The 14,330-nt window shown below is 58.2% G+C and overlaps 2 protein-coding genes and 1 long non-coding RNA gene across 32 annotated transcripts in view, besides 4 other annotated features; 1 reads left to right on the plus strand and 2 right to left on the minus strand.

The window, feature by feature from the left end:
* The window catches only part of SEC16A (SEC16 homolog A, endoplasmic reticulum export factor), a 44,636-nt gene extending 43,259 nt beyond the window's left edge, over positions 1-1,377 (minus strand). For 27 of the 29 annotated variants that reach the window (XM_047424252.1, XM_047424250.1, XM_047424248.1 and 24 more), the window contains exon 1: positions 1,103-1,377. The gene's annotated coding sequence lies outside the window, so the exon portion shown is untranslated. Of the gene's footprint in view, positions 1-146; positions 421-1,102 lie in introns of those variants that run through there. The other 2 variants (NM_001276418.2, NM_001438155.1) reach the window with 1 other exon arrangement.
* Positions 30-209: a silencer, noted in NCBI's record as "silent region_20522". NCBI's record gives its function as "represses an Ori minimal core promoter by ATAC-STARR-seq in GM12878 lymphoblastoid cells {active_cell/tissue: GM12878}" and the evidence as "EXISTENCE:reporter gene assay evidence [ECO:0000049][PMID:35858748]".
* On the plus strand, positions 132-2,704 carry C9orf163 (chromosome 9 putative open reading frame 163). Its single transcript, NR_172629.1, has one exon. It is a non-coding gene; the product is annotated as a chromosome 9 putative open reading frame 163 (long non-coding RNA).
* Positions 316-1,060: an enhancer, noted in NCBI's record as "H3K27ac-H3K4me1 hESC enhancer chr9:139378131-139378875 (GRCh37/hg19 assembly coordinates)". NCBI's record gives its function as "activates a minimal SCP1, AML or CMV promoter by ChIP-STARR-seq in naive H9 embryonic stem cells {active_cell/tissue: H9 hESC(naive)}" and the evidence as "EXISTENCE:reporter gene assay evidence [ECO:0000049][PMID:30033119]".
* Positions 360-789: a silencer, noted in NCBI's record as "silent region_20523". NCBI's record gives its function as "represses an Ori minimal core promoter by ATAC-STARR-seq in GM12878 lymphoblastoid cells {active_cell/tissue: GM12878}" and the evidence as "EXISTENCE:reporter gene assay evidence [ECO:0000049][PMID:35858748]".
* Positions 5,498-5,547: a silencer, noted in NCBI's record as "silent region_20524". NCBI's record gives its function as "represses an Ori minimal core promoter by ATAC-STARR-seq in GM12878 lymphoblastoid cells {active_cell/tissue: GM12878}" and the evidence as "EXISTENCE:reporter gene assay evidence [ECO:0000049][PMID:35858748]".
* Positions 11,070-14,330, minus strand: part of NOTCH1 (notch receptor 1) — a 51,616-nt gene continuing 48,355 nt past the window's right edge. For both annotated transcript variants that reach the window (NM_017617.5, XM_011518717.3), the window contains one exon: positions 11,070-14,195. In NM_017617.5, coding sequence (NP_060087.3) covers positions 12,708-14,195 — 1,488 coding nt within the window. In that variant the 3' untranslated portion in view covers positions 11,070-12,707. The remainder of the gene's footprint in view (positions 14,196-14,330) is intronic.

Genomic DNA, 14,330 nt, shown 5'->3' on the forward strand with positions numbered 1-14,330 from the left:
CATTCTTTCGTCCCGCCCCCTTAGCCCCGCCCGTCGTCCGTCTTTCTCCGCCTCATCCTGTCGTTCCCGCCCCTTTGGCCCCGCCCCTCGGCCGTCCTTCCCCGCCCGTGGCCCCGCCCCCCTCCGGCGTCCGTCTGCCGCCTCACCGCTTGGCCCCGCCCCTCGCCACCTGCCCGGCCAGGCGCGCCGGGGCCGTCCCAGTACGTCGCCCTGTTTACGCTGGCTCTTTCTCCCAGTCTTTTTTCGTTTTAAGATGTGAGAAGAGATGGGATTCTTCAATCAAGGCCACAAGCGGGAAATCAGTCTGCAGGACCGATGCCAGCAGGCTCACGCACCGAGAACGGCTACTCCGCCCAGCTGAGAAGCGCGGGGCCCTGACGCGGGCGCGCTCCTCGCATTCTTCCGTTGGGCTGGGAGGCTGGAGGGCAGGCGGCGGCGGCCGCGCATGCGCCGGGAGCGGCCGGAGCTGCGGGACGCGGAGGGCCGACTGCGCCTGCGCGCTGGTTGCCTGGTTACGGCGTGGCCGCGGGCACCGAGCGGCGCCGGAAGTTGGTCGATGGCTGCCGCCAGTCCCTGGCCAGCGTCCTGGGGTTTCCCCGACGCATCCTCTACTGTCCCTTCGCTCTGCACAGAGGCCCGGGCAGGGAGGGGCGGCCCGGCCACCGCGCGGAGCCGGGTGTCCGCCGACTCGCAAGGGGGACGCGCGGGCTCCTCGTCCCCAAGCTCCGCCCTGCGCCTTTGCTGCGCCGGGCCCTCCCAGGCCCACCCTGGCCCCAGCCCTGCTGTCCTCCCGGGGAGGTGCGGCCTACTCGGTTCGTTCCCCCGGCCGCCAGCCCCACAGGGGCGCTGGGGTCCCAGCCTTGGCTGAGTGCACGTCGGTGGCGAGTGGGCCCGGGCGCTCGGGCGGCCAGAGCGACCCAGCGGAGGGGTGAGGCGGGTAGGCGCTCCTGTGCCTGCCACGGCCAGGCCAGGCAGCATCCACGCCCTCCCGCGGAAGATCGCAGGGAACAGGTGGGCACTATCCTCTGTGCCCTCATTTTTCGGAGGAGCCGAGGGAGGCTGAGCGGTTGAGGAAGCGGCCAGCCATGCCGGGCCCACTCACCTGCACACCTGCCTGGCAAGGGCAGGGAAGAGCCGCGGCCTTCCTCTGCTGCTCCTTCCAGAGGGCAGGCGCCGTGGTGGGGGTGCCCGCCCGATGGCATCGCGGGAGGCTGAGCTCCCAGCAGCGGCTGAGGTCCTCCCTGGGTGGGAGCCACCCTTGTCCCCAGCTGGGCCGGCGGCTGGTGAGGGAGGGGGTGATATCCGTGCCACGCCAGCAGGGCCGCAGGCGGTGCAGGGAGAGCTTCAGTCCGGCTGACGTGGCACCAGGGCCAATCTGCTCAGCTAACATTTGCCTTTCAGGAGTCAGATTCCTGACCTGTTTGAACAGAGTTAGGGAGCACGTGGTAGGGCCCAGCCCCAGCCCCGCTGCCCCCATCTGCTTCTTCCCAGTGGTCGAGGCGCTCTGCACCCTCCGCGGAAGGAGGTGTCATTGTTTGCCCTTTCCAAAGAGGGGGATGCAGAGGTGGATGCTGCCTCTCAGGCGTGGGGCTCGCCTTTTGCCGCTCGCGAGTTCAAAGAACCCAAGAGCCAGGAGCCCAGGGCTCGACCCTCTAGGGTCCTCCGAAACCCTGTGGTCCCACCGGGGTGGGCACTAAGCTATGGGAGAGACCATAGCTGCAGAAACCAACCCTGCCCTAGGCATAAAATGCAAGGTCTCTGGACCTCAGGGCAGGGATGTTAGACAGCGGCTTCTGTTGGCTCCTAGGGGTGTGAATCACCACATCACCTGCAGGGGGCGCGGCTGTCTTTCTTCCCCCTCTTCTCCCTAATCCTGAGTGCACGGAGACAGCTCTCAGCAGTTTGTAGCCTGATGTGGAGTGGAGGGTTCCTGCACCCTACACCCGAGCCCATCCAGCCTCTGGGCCATAGACCCTTCCGTTGAAGGCCCAGCCTGCCCCTGAGACGCTGTGTGCCCTTTTTCAACTTCCTTAGTCTCTGAGCATCAGGTCTTCATCTCTAAGATAGAGCAAGATGAGCACCTAAACGTTTCAGGGCTGAAATGGGGTTGCCAGGACAACAAGCATGGCAGGGGCGAATGGGGACATCAGGTGACTGACTGCGAGCCAGCAGAGGCCTCCACCCAGTGCTGGGAGGTGTCCCGCCGGTGGTGGCCATCACTATTCCTGGTGGGGCTTTGCTGCTTTTGCCTGCAGCATCCGCTGGTTTCTCCATTCTCCAAGTCTCTGCCCCTGCTCACACCTGGAGGCTGGACACAAGTGTCACCACTTCCCTGAACCCCCCTAGGTGGGCTGGAATCAGCATCTGGTGCAAAGCTCTGTGACCACTGCTGTACCACATTATGCAGAGCACACAGGACAGGCTGGTGCACCTCCAGGCTGTGCCAGGAAACCCGCTGCCTTTGCGTCACCACAGCCTTGGTCACAGCGTGACCTTGGTGCCTCCGACGGGTCAGCTCCTCCCATTAGCCATGCTGTCCAGCACGGGGGCCGCTGGTGCTTGCTGTGAGACTGAGCTGGGCTCTGAGTGTAAACTACATGGTAGGTTGTGAAGGATGCAAATATCGAATCAATCATTTTTTATTGCATATTAAAATGACAATATCTTGGATGTATCAGATTAAACAAAATACTATTTAATTTTATTTCACCTGTTTCTTTTGTTTTTGACATAGCTGCTGGGAAATGTAAAACTCCACATGGGGCTGGTGTTACATTTCCACTGGACAGTGTTGGTCTAGAAGGCAGGCACTCAGCACCCCTAGCCTGTGCTTATAGCCTCCTATGATAGGGGCCTGAAATGCCAGAGGCTGATGGGTGGACCTGGCTCTTTGCTGACAACTGGCGGGCCAGTGGCGGTCCTCCAGGGAGCCCCCAGCAGAGCAGCAGTCTCAGTGAACGCAGGACGGCCCCTCACTGTGAGCTTCTGCTCCTCTTTCCTACCTGGTGTAAAATAGCAGTGGCGAGTATGTCTGGGTGCTTGTGGAGGTTTACTGGGCAGGCCTGCTCCCTGCCGGACACTGTCCTCAGCCCCTGACACAGACCCTTAGTCCTGGACGCTGAAGCTGGAGGCTTGGCCTGGAGAGAGGAAGGGGCAGTCTCTGTGAGACGGTTAGCTGGGTGGTCCAGGCAAAAAAACATATGAAGGCCTCCAAGGTGGAGAGCACTGACACGGAGCTCTTCCTGGAGGAGGAGGGAATAGGGCTGGGAAGCTGGAATCAGGGGAGAGGAAGCAGATCTGGAGGCAGGGTCCGTAGAGTTTGTTCTGTGGCGTTTGTTCATCAGGCCCCTGCAGGGGTTCCCTGTCAGCATGCCACCAGGCTGGCCAGAGGGTGGGCCAGGCTTCCTCTTCTTACCCTCATAGAGGAGAGGAAGTCACCTCTGTGAGGGGAAGGCCAGACCCCCAGGGCCATGGTGGGCAGTGTGGAGGGAGCTTCAGTCCCACTCACTTCCATGCACAAGGCCTGCCAAGCACACAGCATAGGGTCCGCAAACATGCTCACCACGCTGCCACCCCCTTCCCGTGTTCTACTCACCTCTGAGCCCCACCCTAACCTGGAGTGCTCGCCCGGTGTGCTCGCCAGGGGTGTGCAGCGAGACAGCACTGTCCACTTTCTAGGCCTTCCCAGGGCTGACATGAGGCTGAAGGTGCATCCCCGCCCTGGCACATGTGCCCTTGCTCTCGGCTGCTGGGGAATGGGTCCCACAGCGCCTCCTCCCAGCACAGGCAAAGGCATCTCCTTTTGGGCGCCCACCTGGCTAGCAGAGCACAGGTAAGATGGCTCCAGCAATGGTGGGCTAACTACCGTGTGTCCAGCTGTACTGCAAGCTTCCAGAAGTCAGAGACCCTCAGCCACTACCCAGGTGTTCAGCCTTGGGCAAGCTACCTGGCCTTTCCAAGCCTCTGCCTCCTCCCCTGTAAAAGAAGGTGACAGCCTTGCCCTTTCCCGGCCTCCTGCAAGGACTTCCTGGACCTGACCTCACAGGGTGGCAAGCGTATCCTCCACACCAGGCCTCCCCGGAGGCACAGGGCACATTGACGGCATTGCCAGCAGCCTCGTTACTGCAGGAGCGTCATGCTCCTCATCTCCAGCATCTTCAAGCATGTTGGGCACATAGCAGGTCTCAGAGAACATTTTTCTGGAATCATTGAGCCAAGTACTTACCATGTAAGGTGCTAAAAAGCACTAGGAATGAAGCAGAAAGCTCAAGGCTGATGTCGATGTCACAGTAACCTGGGACCGCAGGCCCCCAGGGCCACAGGAGGAACTGCTGGCTGTCCTTGAGCTGAGGCAGGGTCTTGGTAAGCTCACGAGTCCTCTATCCCCAAACCATGCACAGATGTCTGCTGAGTCCCTGCTGTACCCCAGGCACTGCTAGGAGCTGGGCTGTGGCCGTGAGACAGACAAGCCCAGACTCTGCCTCCGGGGAACATGGATGCTGGCTGGCCACAGAGGTGCCCATACAGAGGGCACCATGCAGTGTCTGCTGGGGACAGGCAGGAGGAGAAGGAGCATTTCTGGCTGAAGTGAACAGTCCACATGAGGCTTCTGCGGGGTGAGCGGCCAGTGGGCGTAGGCTAGTGTGGACTCTGTAGGCTTGCTAAGAGACCCGCAGGTGGTGTCTGGAAGTATAGGAAGCTTCCAGAGGCTTTTCAGCCAGGAGCGATGCAACCAGTTTGGGCCCCAAAGGCTCTCCAGGTTAGGGTTCGAGCTAGGGGCTAGGGAGAGCCAGGGCCCAGGAGGCAGCCTTGGGTGGCCTAGGAGAAAGAGGCGCTGAACCCAGGAGAGTCCCCAAGAACCCGGGAGAGTCCCCGAGGGCACAACCCCAGCACAGCACGGGGTTCACACACAGCAGGCAGGAGACAGTCCTGAGCATTGAGTGATGATTTAAGTGGTGGACATGGACTTGGTGGCCTGGGGACTGTAGATAGGGAAGAGAAAAGGGCCCGGGTGGAGCTGGGAAGAGCTCCAGTATTCGATGCCAGGCCAGTCGTGGCATTAACTCCTGGCAAAGTATCCGATGCCAGGCTGGCCATGGTATTGACTCCTGGCAAAGTGGCCCAACAACCCCCTTCTCCCCTCTGAGCAGCCGTCTCCCTGTCTGAAAAGTCACCAGGCTGGATGGCATCAACTCTACAGGCCTTCCTGCTCCTCTGAGGGCAGGTGACTCCTCGTGGTTTGACACGGACCGGGAATCACATAGCCCTGGCTCAGTGAATGGGCGAACTTGGCTAAGTCGCCTAACCTCTTTGAGCCCCAGCTTCCTCATGTGTAAAACAGGATAATAGCAGTGTCGCGGGGGATGGCCCTGGGCGTGGGGTGAGGGCCATTTCTGCCCTGTGGTCACTCGGGAGGACCTGTGGGGCGCTGGCAGAGCAGTGCCACCAGGGGGAGGCAGAGAGCCGCCTCTGAGTCGGCCAAAGTAACAGGTGCACGCTTGCCAGGTGAGGTTGCTCCCATCTGTCGTCTCAGCATTTTGGGAGGCCAAAGTGGGAGGATCACTTGAACCTAGGGGTTTGAGACCAGCCTGGGCAACATAGCAAGATTCCATCTCCACAAAAAGAAAAAAAAGTAAAGTTATACACTTTTCTTTTTTTTTTTTGAGACCGAGTCTCACTGTATCCCCCAGGCTGGAGTGCAGTGGTGCAATCTCAGCTCACTGCAACCTCCTCCTTCCGAATTCAAGCAATTCTCCTGCCTCAGCCCCCCCAAGTAGCTGAGATTCTAGGTGCCCACCATGGTGCCCAGCTAATTTTTGTATTTTTAGTGGAGAGGGGGGTTTCACCAGTTGACCAGGCTGGTGTGGAACTCCTGACCACAGGTGATCCTCTCGCCTCGGCCTCCCGAAGTGCTGGGATGACAGGTGTGAGCCACCACGCCTGGCCGTAGTTATAACTTTTCTAAGGTTCATTTTATTAAATGGAAAAATGCCAAACAGAACGACAAAGGCTGTGGTAGAATGTGCACGTTTGTGTGGACCCAGGGCACATTTTCACCAGAAAATCCCGTGCGATAGAGTGGAAGATATACCAAAAGCCACAGCAAATATCACGCGTGACTCCGCAGAAAATTATAGATTCCTAACAAACACTGAGAGTGTGTCCTGTGCTGTAAGGTCCAGGGATGGGCCACAAGTTCAAGGTTGTGTGAAGAACAACGGAAACCCACCTCTGAGGCCCTGGGCACCTGGCACCTGTCGTGTTGGGCATGAATAAAGCTTCGCAGCTCAGTCCTGCAATCTCCATGAGCCTAGACTTGTCCATCTTAAAATGTAGACGGTTAGGACACCTGCTGAAGGGGCCGCCAGGCTTAACTGTGCCAACACGGCATGCAGGTGGAGAACAAAGAATGCGATTGAAAACCTCCTAACGATAACAAGAGCTGTTCCCTTTCTGAGCCCTCACCCCATGCCCAGCGTGCACCAGCAGCTCACCATCGCAGGCCCAGGGCCAGCACCCAGGTCCCCACTTGACCCACGAGGACACTGAGGTACAGCAACAGCCAGGACAGCAGCCGCCAGGTGGAAAGCAAAGACACAAAGCAGCCAGATCGGGAGTCACGTCGGGGCAGGCGACTGAGGCGCCACCCAGCCACCTTCAAGATGCAGATTGAAGAACAGCCTTTCCCAAAGCTCGCTCACTCACTGACCCTGCGTCTTCGTCTGCAAAGCCTGAGTAACGTGGGAGGCCCTGCAACGCCCCCTCTGAGAGACCTCCACTAACGCCAGCACTTTTTTTTTTTTTTTTTTTTTTTTTTTTTTTTTTTGTGAGAGTGTCTTGCTCTGTCGCCCAGGCTGGAGTGCAGAGGCATGATCTCTGCTCACTGCAAGCTCCGCCTCCCAGGTTCACGCCATTCTCCTGCCTCAGCCTCCCAAGTAGCTAGGACTACAGGCGCCTGCCACCACGCCCGGCTAATTTTTTGTATTTTTTAGTAGAGACGGGGTTTCACCGTGTTAGCCAGGATGGTCTCAATCTCCTGACCTTGTGATCCACCCGCCTCAGCCTCCCAAAGTGCTGGGATTACAGGCGTGAGCCACCACGCCTGGCCAACGCCAGCACTTTCAACGCACCGGGACCAAGCTGGACCCGGTTTTGTTTTGAAACACTTTTACTTTTGCAGACGAATACGTCGGTGTCCCACCAGGAACCGCTGCTGGTGGATGCTCACCACGGGAAACAGCCGCGTGACGCTCCCCCTTGTCTGCCTCTGCCCAGTGCTGCCCCCTCCAGCAGAGCTCCTCATGTGTGGTTCGTGGATTTGGGTCCACGATGAGATAAGGAGCCACACAGAACGAAATCAGTCCACCGCTGAGCACGCAGTTGAGCCCCACGGACACCCTTTGCAAGTGAGACTTTTGGGATGAAGGCAGCACAGGCCTGTCGATCCCTGGAGCAGCCCGGGGGCTACGGCACCGTGCTTCCCTCTTGGATGGAGGCAGCCCTGCCTGCCGGGGGCCTGATTTGTGGGCCCTGATGAGTTGGTGCCTCCGGGCTCTTGGGACCCTCCTTTGCTCTATCCAGAGGGACGCAGCGCCACACTCGGGGTTCACGCCGGCAGCGGCGTGGAGTGAGTCACCAGGCTGAAGATACACTTGGTGTTTTCCTGCGCTGGGTGGAACTGTCTGGAGCCCCCTTGGCATCCTGCTGAAGAGTCCGAATCTGGACGTGAGCCTCCTGGAGATACTGAACACCTTTTAAAGTGTGGCCAGGCCCAATCTAGGGTGCTGTGAGTGTACTGTACATCCTGGGTTTCAAAGACACAGTACCAAAAACAAACAAACAAAAAGAATATAAAACATCTCATTCACGGCCGGGCGTGGTGGCTTACGCCTATAATCCCAGCACTTTGGGAGGCCGAGGTGGGCCGATCACGAGGTCAAGAGATCAAGACCAGCCTGGCCAACATGGTGAAACCCCCTCTCTACTAAAAATACAAAAATTAGCTGGGCGTGGTGGCAGGTGCCTGTAATCCCAGCTACTCGGGAGGCTGAGGCAGGAGAATCGCTTGAACCCGGGAGGCGGAAGTTGCAGTGAGCTGAGATCGCACCACTGCACTCCAGCCTGGGTGACAGAGGGAGACTCTGTCTCAAAAAACAAAAAACAACAAAAAAAAACTCATTCACTTTTTATGTTGTGTTAAAATAATATTTTTGATATATTGGATTAACTAAGCTGTAGTATTAATATACACTTTGCCTGTTTCTTTTTACCTTTTTAATGTGGCTACTGAAATATTTAAAGTTGCATATGTGGCCAGGCGCAGTGGCCCACACCTGTAATCCCAGCACTCTGGGAGGCCAAGGTGAGGAGAGGACTGCATGAGCTCAGGAGTTCGAGACCAACCTGGGCAACAAAGTGAGACCCCATCTCTGCAAAAAATAACAAAAAAATTGGGTGGGTGAGGTGGTGTGCACCTGTAATCCCAGCTGCTAGAGAGACCAAGGTGGGAGGATCACCTGGGCCCAGGAGGTTGAGGCTGCAATAAGCTATCATGGCACCACTGCACTCCAGCCTGGGTGACAGAGCAAGACCCTGTCTCAAAAACTTTTTTTAATTAAAAAAAAAAAATAACATATTGAGGTGAGACTCACAGAACCTAAAATTAACCACTTTAAAGTGTACGAGTTAGGCCAGGTGCAGTGGCTCACGCCTGTAACCTCAGCACTTTAAGAGGCCGAGGCGGGTGGATCACTTGAGATCAGGAGTTTGAAACCAGCCTGGCCAACATGGTGAAACCCAATCTCTACTAAAAATACAAAAAAATTAGCCGGGTGTGGTGGTAGGGGCCTGTAATCCCAGTTACTTTGGAGGCTGAGGCAGGAGAATCACTTGAACACAGAGGCGGAGGTTGCAGTGAGCCAAGATCACGCCACCACATTCCAGCCTGGGTGACAGAGCGAGACTCCGTCTCAAAAAAAAAAAAAAAAAGTGTCCGCGTTATTGGCATTTAGTGCACTCGAAGGGCTGTGCACGCACCACCTCTCCCTGGGCCCAGAACATTTGCGTCACTCCAAAGTAAAACCCCGGGCCGTCTTCATCCACGTCCCTACAAAGGACATGAACTCATCATTTTTTATGGCTGCATAGTATTCCATGGTATATATGTGCCACATTTTCTTAATCTAGTCTATCATTGTTGGACATTTGGGTTGGTTCCAAGTCTTTGCTATTGTGAACAGTGCCACAATAAACTAAAACTTAAAGTATAAAAACAAAACAAAACAAAAAAAAACCCCGGGCCGTTTAGCAGCCACTCCCCTTTCCTCCTCCCCCCGGCTCTGGGAACCATCAATCTACTTTCTGTCTCCATGGGTTCGGTGACCACAGGCACCCCATAGAAATGGAGTCACTGCACCTGCGGCCCTTTGCGGCCGGCACCCTTCACTGAGCACCGTGCTTCCAAGGCTTGTCCGCATGGTGGGTGTCAGCGCCTCCTTTTCTACGGTGGAATCATATTCCCTCGTGCGCATTCGTCAGGGTTCTTCCGGCAAGCGGAGCCCATAAGACGTGCCACTGGAGAGGTTATTGCAGGGAATTGGCCACACGACCTCGAGGCCTGCAGTTCCCAGGGTCTGCAGTTGCAGGCAGGAGGCCTGATGGCGTTGCGAGTCCGAAGGCCGGTGGGCTCCAGGCCCAGGAAGAGCCCACGTTTTCAGTCCAAGTCTGAAGGCAGGAAAAGACCAATGTCCAGTGCAAGCGGTTGGGTGGGAGGACCCCTGGCACTCGGCCTATTGTTCTCCCCAGGCCTCAGCGGACCGCACGGGGCCCACCCACACTGGGGAGGGCGGACTGCCTTACCCGGGCTGTGGATGCAAATGCGAACCTCATCCAGAACACCTCAGAGACACACTCCGTTTGGCGAAATGGCCCGGCCAAGCTGACACTAAGGTTCACCGTCACAGCAGACGGTTTTGCTGACCCGTCGTTGGCAGTGGACGCTCAGGCTGTCTGTGGCTGTACTGAGTGATGCCGGGACAGCAAGTGGCCACGTGCGTTTGTTTGAGTCCCTGTTTTCACTTCTTTCGGACAGACCCCCAGGAGTGGAATTTCAGGGTGCTGGGAGTTTTATGGGCAGGACTCCGGCTGGGTCACCCCCTTTGAAGACAAGAGTCAGGCCACTCACTGCAGTTCCACGGTGGCCCCTCCTGGTCCTGGTGCCCAGCGCTGGCTGGCAGACGCAGCCCCCAGCCATAGTAGAGGCCTCGGGCTCACATCCCTCCTTGGAGAGACTGGGCCCAGGGCAGGCAGTGCTTTGCAATCCAAAGAGGGATCTCAGACTCCCCACCGCTCTGGTTTGAAGCCACTGGCCTGCCCTGAAGGTCTGGGGCTGGGCAGAGGCCCAGGCAGTGGGGAGAGAAGGGGCCCACCCTTGTGTGAGGCTGGCAGCTCTATTCAGGGGCAGGGCCCCAGGACCAGGCCGCCTCTGCCTCGCTCAGCCAGTTCCTTAGGATCACACAACTTTCCAGACTCTGCCACGACCCATGCTGCCCTGCTCATAGGCTTCGACAGCTCCCTTTGCCCTCCTATAGGGGCCAGAGTCCTCCCTGTGGTCTCCAGCCCGTAGAGGGGTCATGCCACTGCCTCAAGGCCCTCCCTATGCAGCCCCCTGCCTGCTGCAGAGCTCCCTGAGGGGCTGTCCCCAGGATGGCTGGGTGGGACCTTCATCCCTCCGAGGCTGAGAGGAGAAGAGCCCCGAGCTGCCAGGAGGGCCAGACTCACGCATGGTGTCCTGGGAGCCGTGTCACCCCAGGCACGAGCCCCACCTCCCATAGGGCTGCAACCCCCTTGCTGCTGTGTGTCCATCTCCCTACAAAGGGCCTGGACCAGGCAGGCTGCAGACACCATGGAGTCCCTGGAGGCAGCGTGGTCCCCACACCCCCGTGGGCCAGGACTAGGCAGCCTCACCGTCACTCTCCCAGCAGAAGGGGCCCTCGACTCCTGGCTCCCTCAGAGCATAGCAGCCCTGCCTCCCTCCCAGAAAGGGAGCCAAAGGCCAGAGCAGAGGGGAGTGGAAGCCAGATCACCATCAGTATCATTTTTATTGCAAATCAGTTAACAAAAAAGATGAAAAAAATACATCATCTACAGTTCCTCATGTAGATCACTTTTAAAGTCTTTTTCTGTAAACTACACTCTATTTTATAAAACACAGTAAAAATCAACATCTTGGGACGCATCTGGTCATGCCCCCTGGGGATGGCACCACGCGGCCCCCGTAGAGCCGGGGGAGGCTGCCCTGAGGAGTGCAGGCGGCACGGCAGCGGAGCGTCCCCAGTGCATGGGCGGCTAAGGCTCCCCGAGCTGAGCCAAGTCTGACGTCCCTCACTGGCATGACACACAACAGACTCATTCATTAAGATTTTTTAAACAAAATCCACCTTTAAAAACATATTTACAGACATTTTTTCTGCCATAGGCTATACTTGGTATTGCAAAAATCTGCTCCTCCCAAACTAGGAGGGGTGGCCCAAGGGCAGCCCCCGCCTCCCTCCAGCCCCTGCCCGACCGCATGCCCCCTGCCAGGGCTGCGGGGACAGGACCAAAGGACGCAGCCCACGGCGTTGCACAGCTCAATGTGCCCGGCTCTGGCAAGTCTCCTACAAAACACGGGAGCCCACGGGGGGTCGGGTCCCGCGAGCTGGGGCCCAGGCTGTGTTGCTGGAGCATCTTCTTCGGAACCTGGGGGACACTGTGCAGGCTGAGGTGCTGGGGCCGCCACCGGGGTCAGCCCAGGCAGTGTCTTTCCCCAGAAAAGGGTAGGATGCCTCCGTGTGTGACCCAGGCAAGTGCCACAGTCCACACATCTCATGTTTGACATGCATGATGCCTACATTTCAAGAACGGGCAGGGGGCCGGGGTGGTTCTGGAGGGACCAAGAACTTGTATAACCAACGAACAACTACATAATACTGAACCTGAAACAAAGATTCATGATTGGTACCATGGGTGCACTCTTGGCATACACACTCCGAGAACACATTTTCACAAGCATGCTTGCAAGAAACCATCTAAAACACATGGCAACATCTAACCCATATGCTTTCACTTGTTTCCTATTTCAGATGCAAATTAATCCGCGTGCGGAAGGTGAGCCAGCTTTGCCTCCGTTTGCCTCTGGATGCAGCTTCTCCTAACAGGCAGGTGATGCTGGTGGAGCGGCCGGGCTGGCTTGGGGTTGGGTGGGCGTCGGGGAAAGGGCGCGGCCTGGACGCCCCAGGAGCTTTTTGGACTATGCTCGTTCAACTTCCCTTCTCCAACATCATTTCTTTTTGGATTTTGAAAAAAGGAATCAATAAATAAATGGCATTTATAAATCATGAATCTTTGTTTATATTTTATAAACACAGAAGAATCTTTTCATCCTACGTAGGAAAACCCTGGCTCTCAGAACTTGCTTGTTTTCTCAGAATAGATAAAAGTTTCTACCTGGGGCCAGATAAAACAGTACATATAAATAAAAAGGCAGTGTTTCTGTGTAAAATAAAAGTACATAAATAAATACTAAAAAAAATTAAAATCCTCGTTCTTATTTTGTATAAAAACATGTGTTTTAAAAAGGCTCCTCTGGTCGGCCCTGGCATCCACAGAGCGCACACAGACGCCCGAAGGCTTGGGAAAGGAAGCCGGGGTCTCGTGGGGCGCGCCGTTTACTTGAAGGCCTCCGGAATGCGGGCGATCTGGGACTGCATGCTGGTGGGAGGGCTGGAGACGCCCTCGGACCAGTCGGAGACGTTGGAATGCGGGGACGAGCTGGACCACTGGTCAGGGGACTCAGGGGACGGGGTGAGGAAGGGGTGCTCAGGCACCTGTAGCTGGTGGCTGGGGGTGTTGTCCACAGGCGAGGAGTAGCTGTGCTGCGAGGGGGGCGTCAGGAACTGGGCTGCGGTCACGGGTGGGACCAGCGAGGATGGCAGCGACGTGGGCAGGGCGGGGCTCTCCTGGGGCAGAATAGTGTGCACCGCCAGGCTGCTGGGGCCCAGTGGCTGCACGTCTGCCTGGCTCGGCTCTCCACTCAGGAAGCTCCGGCCCAGGTGGCCGCTGGCTGCTGAGCTCACGCCAAGGTGCGGCTGTGGTGGTGGTGGTGGCGGCTGCAGGCTTTGCTGCTGCTGGATGTTTGCTGGCTGCAGGTTCTGCTGCTGCATCTGTAAGTTTTGTGGCTGCACCTGCTGGGTCTGCACCAGGTGAGGCTGGGTGGCCAGCCGGGTGCTGGGCAGGCCCTGGTAGCTCATCATCTGGGACAGGGCGCTGGCAGCAAGGCTACTGTGCAGCGGGCCTACCATGCCATGCTGCAGGGAGGGGGCCTGTGTGCTCAGGGGGCCTGGTGCCACACTCCCCCGCAGAGGGTTGTATTGGTTCGGCACCATGCCGCTCTGCAGCCGGGACAGCCACTCGCATTGACCATTCAAACTGGTGGACCCGCCCACAGTGAAATTCAGGGCCCCTCCGCTGCTGGAGCCCAGGACGGTGCTGGTGCCAGAGGCCACAGGCAGGTGGGAGAGACGAGGTGGGCCAGTCTCAAAGGCCAGCCGGCCGCCCCCACCCAGCGCCGCCATCTCGGGCTTGGCCGCCACGTTCAGGTGCCCGATGCCCAGGTGGGTGTCGGGCATCCCAGGCAGGTGGTTGAGGGGCACGGACGGAGACTGCTGGAACGGGGAGGGCAGCAGTGGCGGCGAGGCCACGTCTGACAGGTAGCCATGGGGTGACTCCAGGGAGTCCACGGGCGAGAGCATGCCGGAGCTGTCCAGCAGGCAGCCCTTGCCGTCCTGGGACTTCTTCCTCCGTGCCTTGAGGTCCTTGGCCTCCTTGCTTCCACAGGCCAGGCCTTTGCTGCTGGGCTTGCGGACCTTCTTGCCCTGCACGCCGGGCTTGAGGCTGCCCAGGTAGCCGTTGGGCGAGCAGAGCGGGGGCGACAGGGTGGGCGTGCCCCCCAGCGGGGCTCCGTGCAGCTGCGGGCTGCGCACCAGGTTGTACTCGTCCAGCAGCCTCACGATGTCGTGATGCATGCGCTCCTGTGCGATGTCGCGCGGCAGGCGGTCCATATGATCCGTGATGTCCCGGTTGGCAAAGTGGTCCAGCAGCACCTTGGCGGTCTCGTAGCTGCCCTCCCGGGCGGCCAGAAACAGGGGTGTCTCCTCCTGGGGGATGAGGGCGGGGGCCGGTGAGGGGGGCCAGGCCAGGCGTGGGGACCCTCCCCAAGGTTCCATCACCAGAGGAAGCAGCAGTACAACCTCCTCCGCGGGGTGGGGGCAGGCAGGCTGCTCCTCAGGACC

This window comes from Homo sapiens, chromosome 9 (assembly GCF_000001405.40).
Source record: "Homo sapiens chromosome 9, GRCh38.p14 Primary Assembly".
In the NCBI taxonomy this organism is placed as follows: Eukaryota; Metazoa; Chordata; class Mammalia; order Primates; family Hominidae; genus Homo; species Homo sapiens.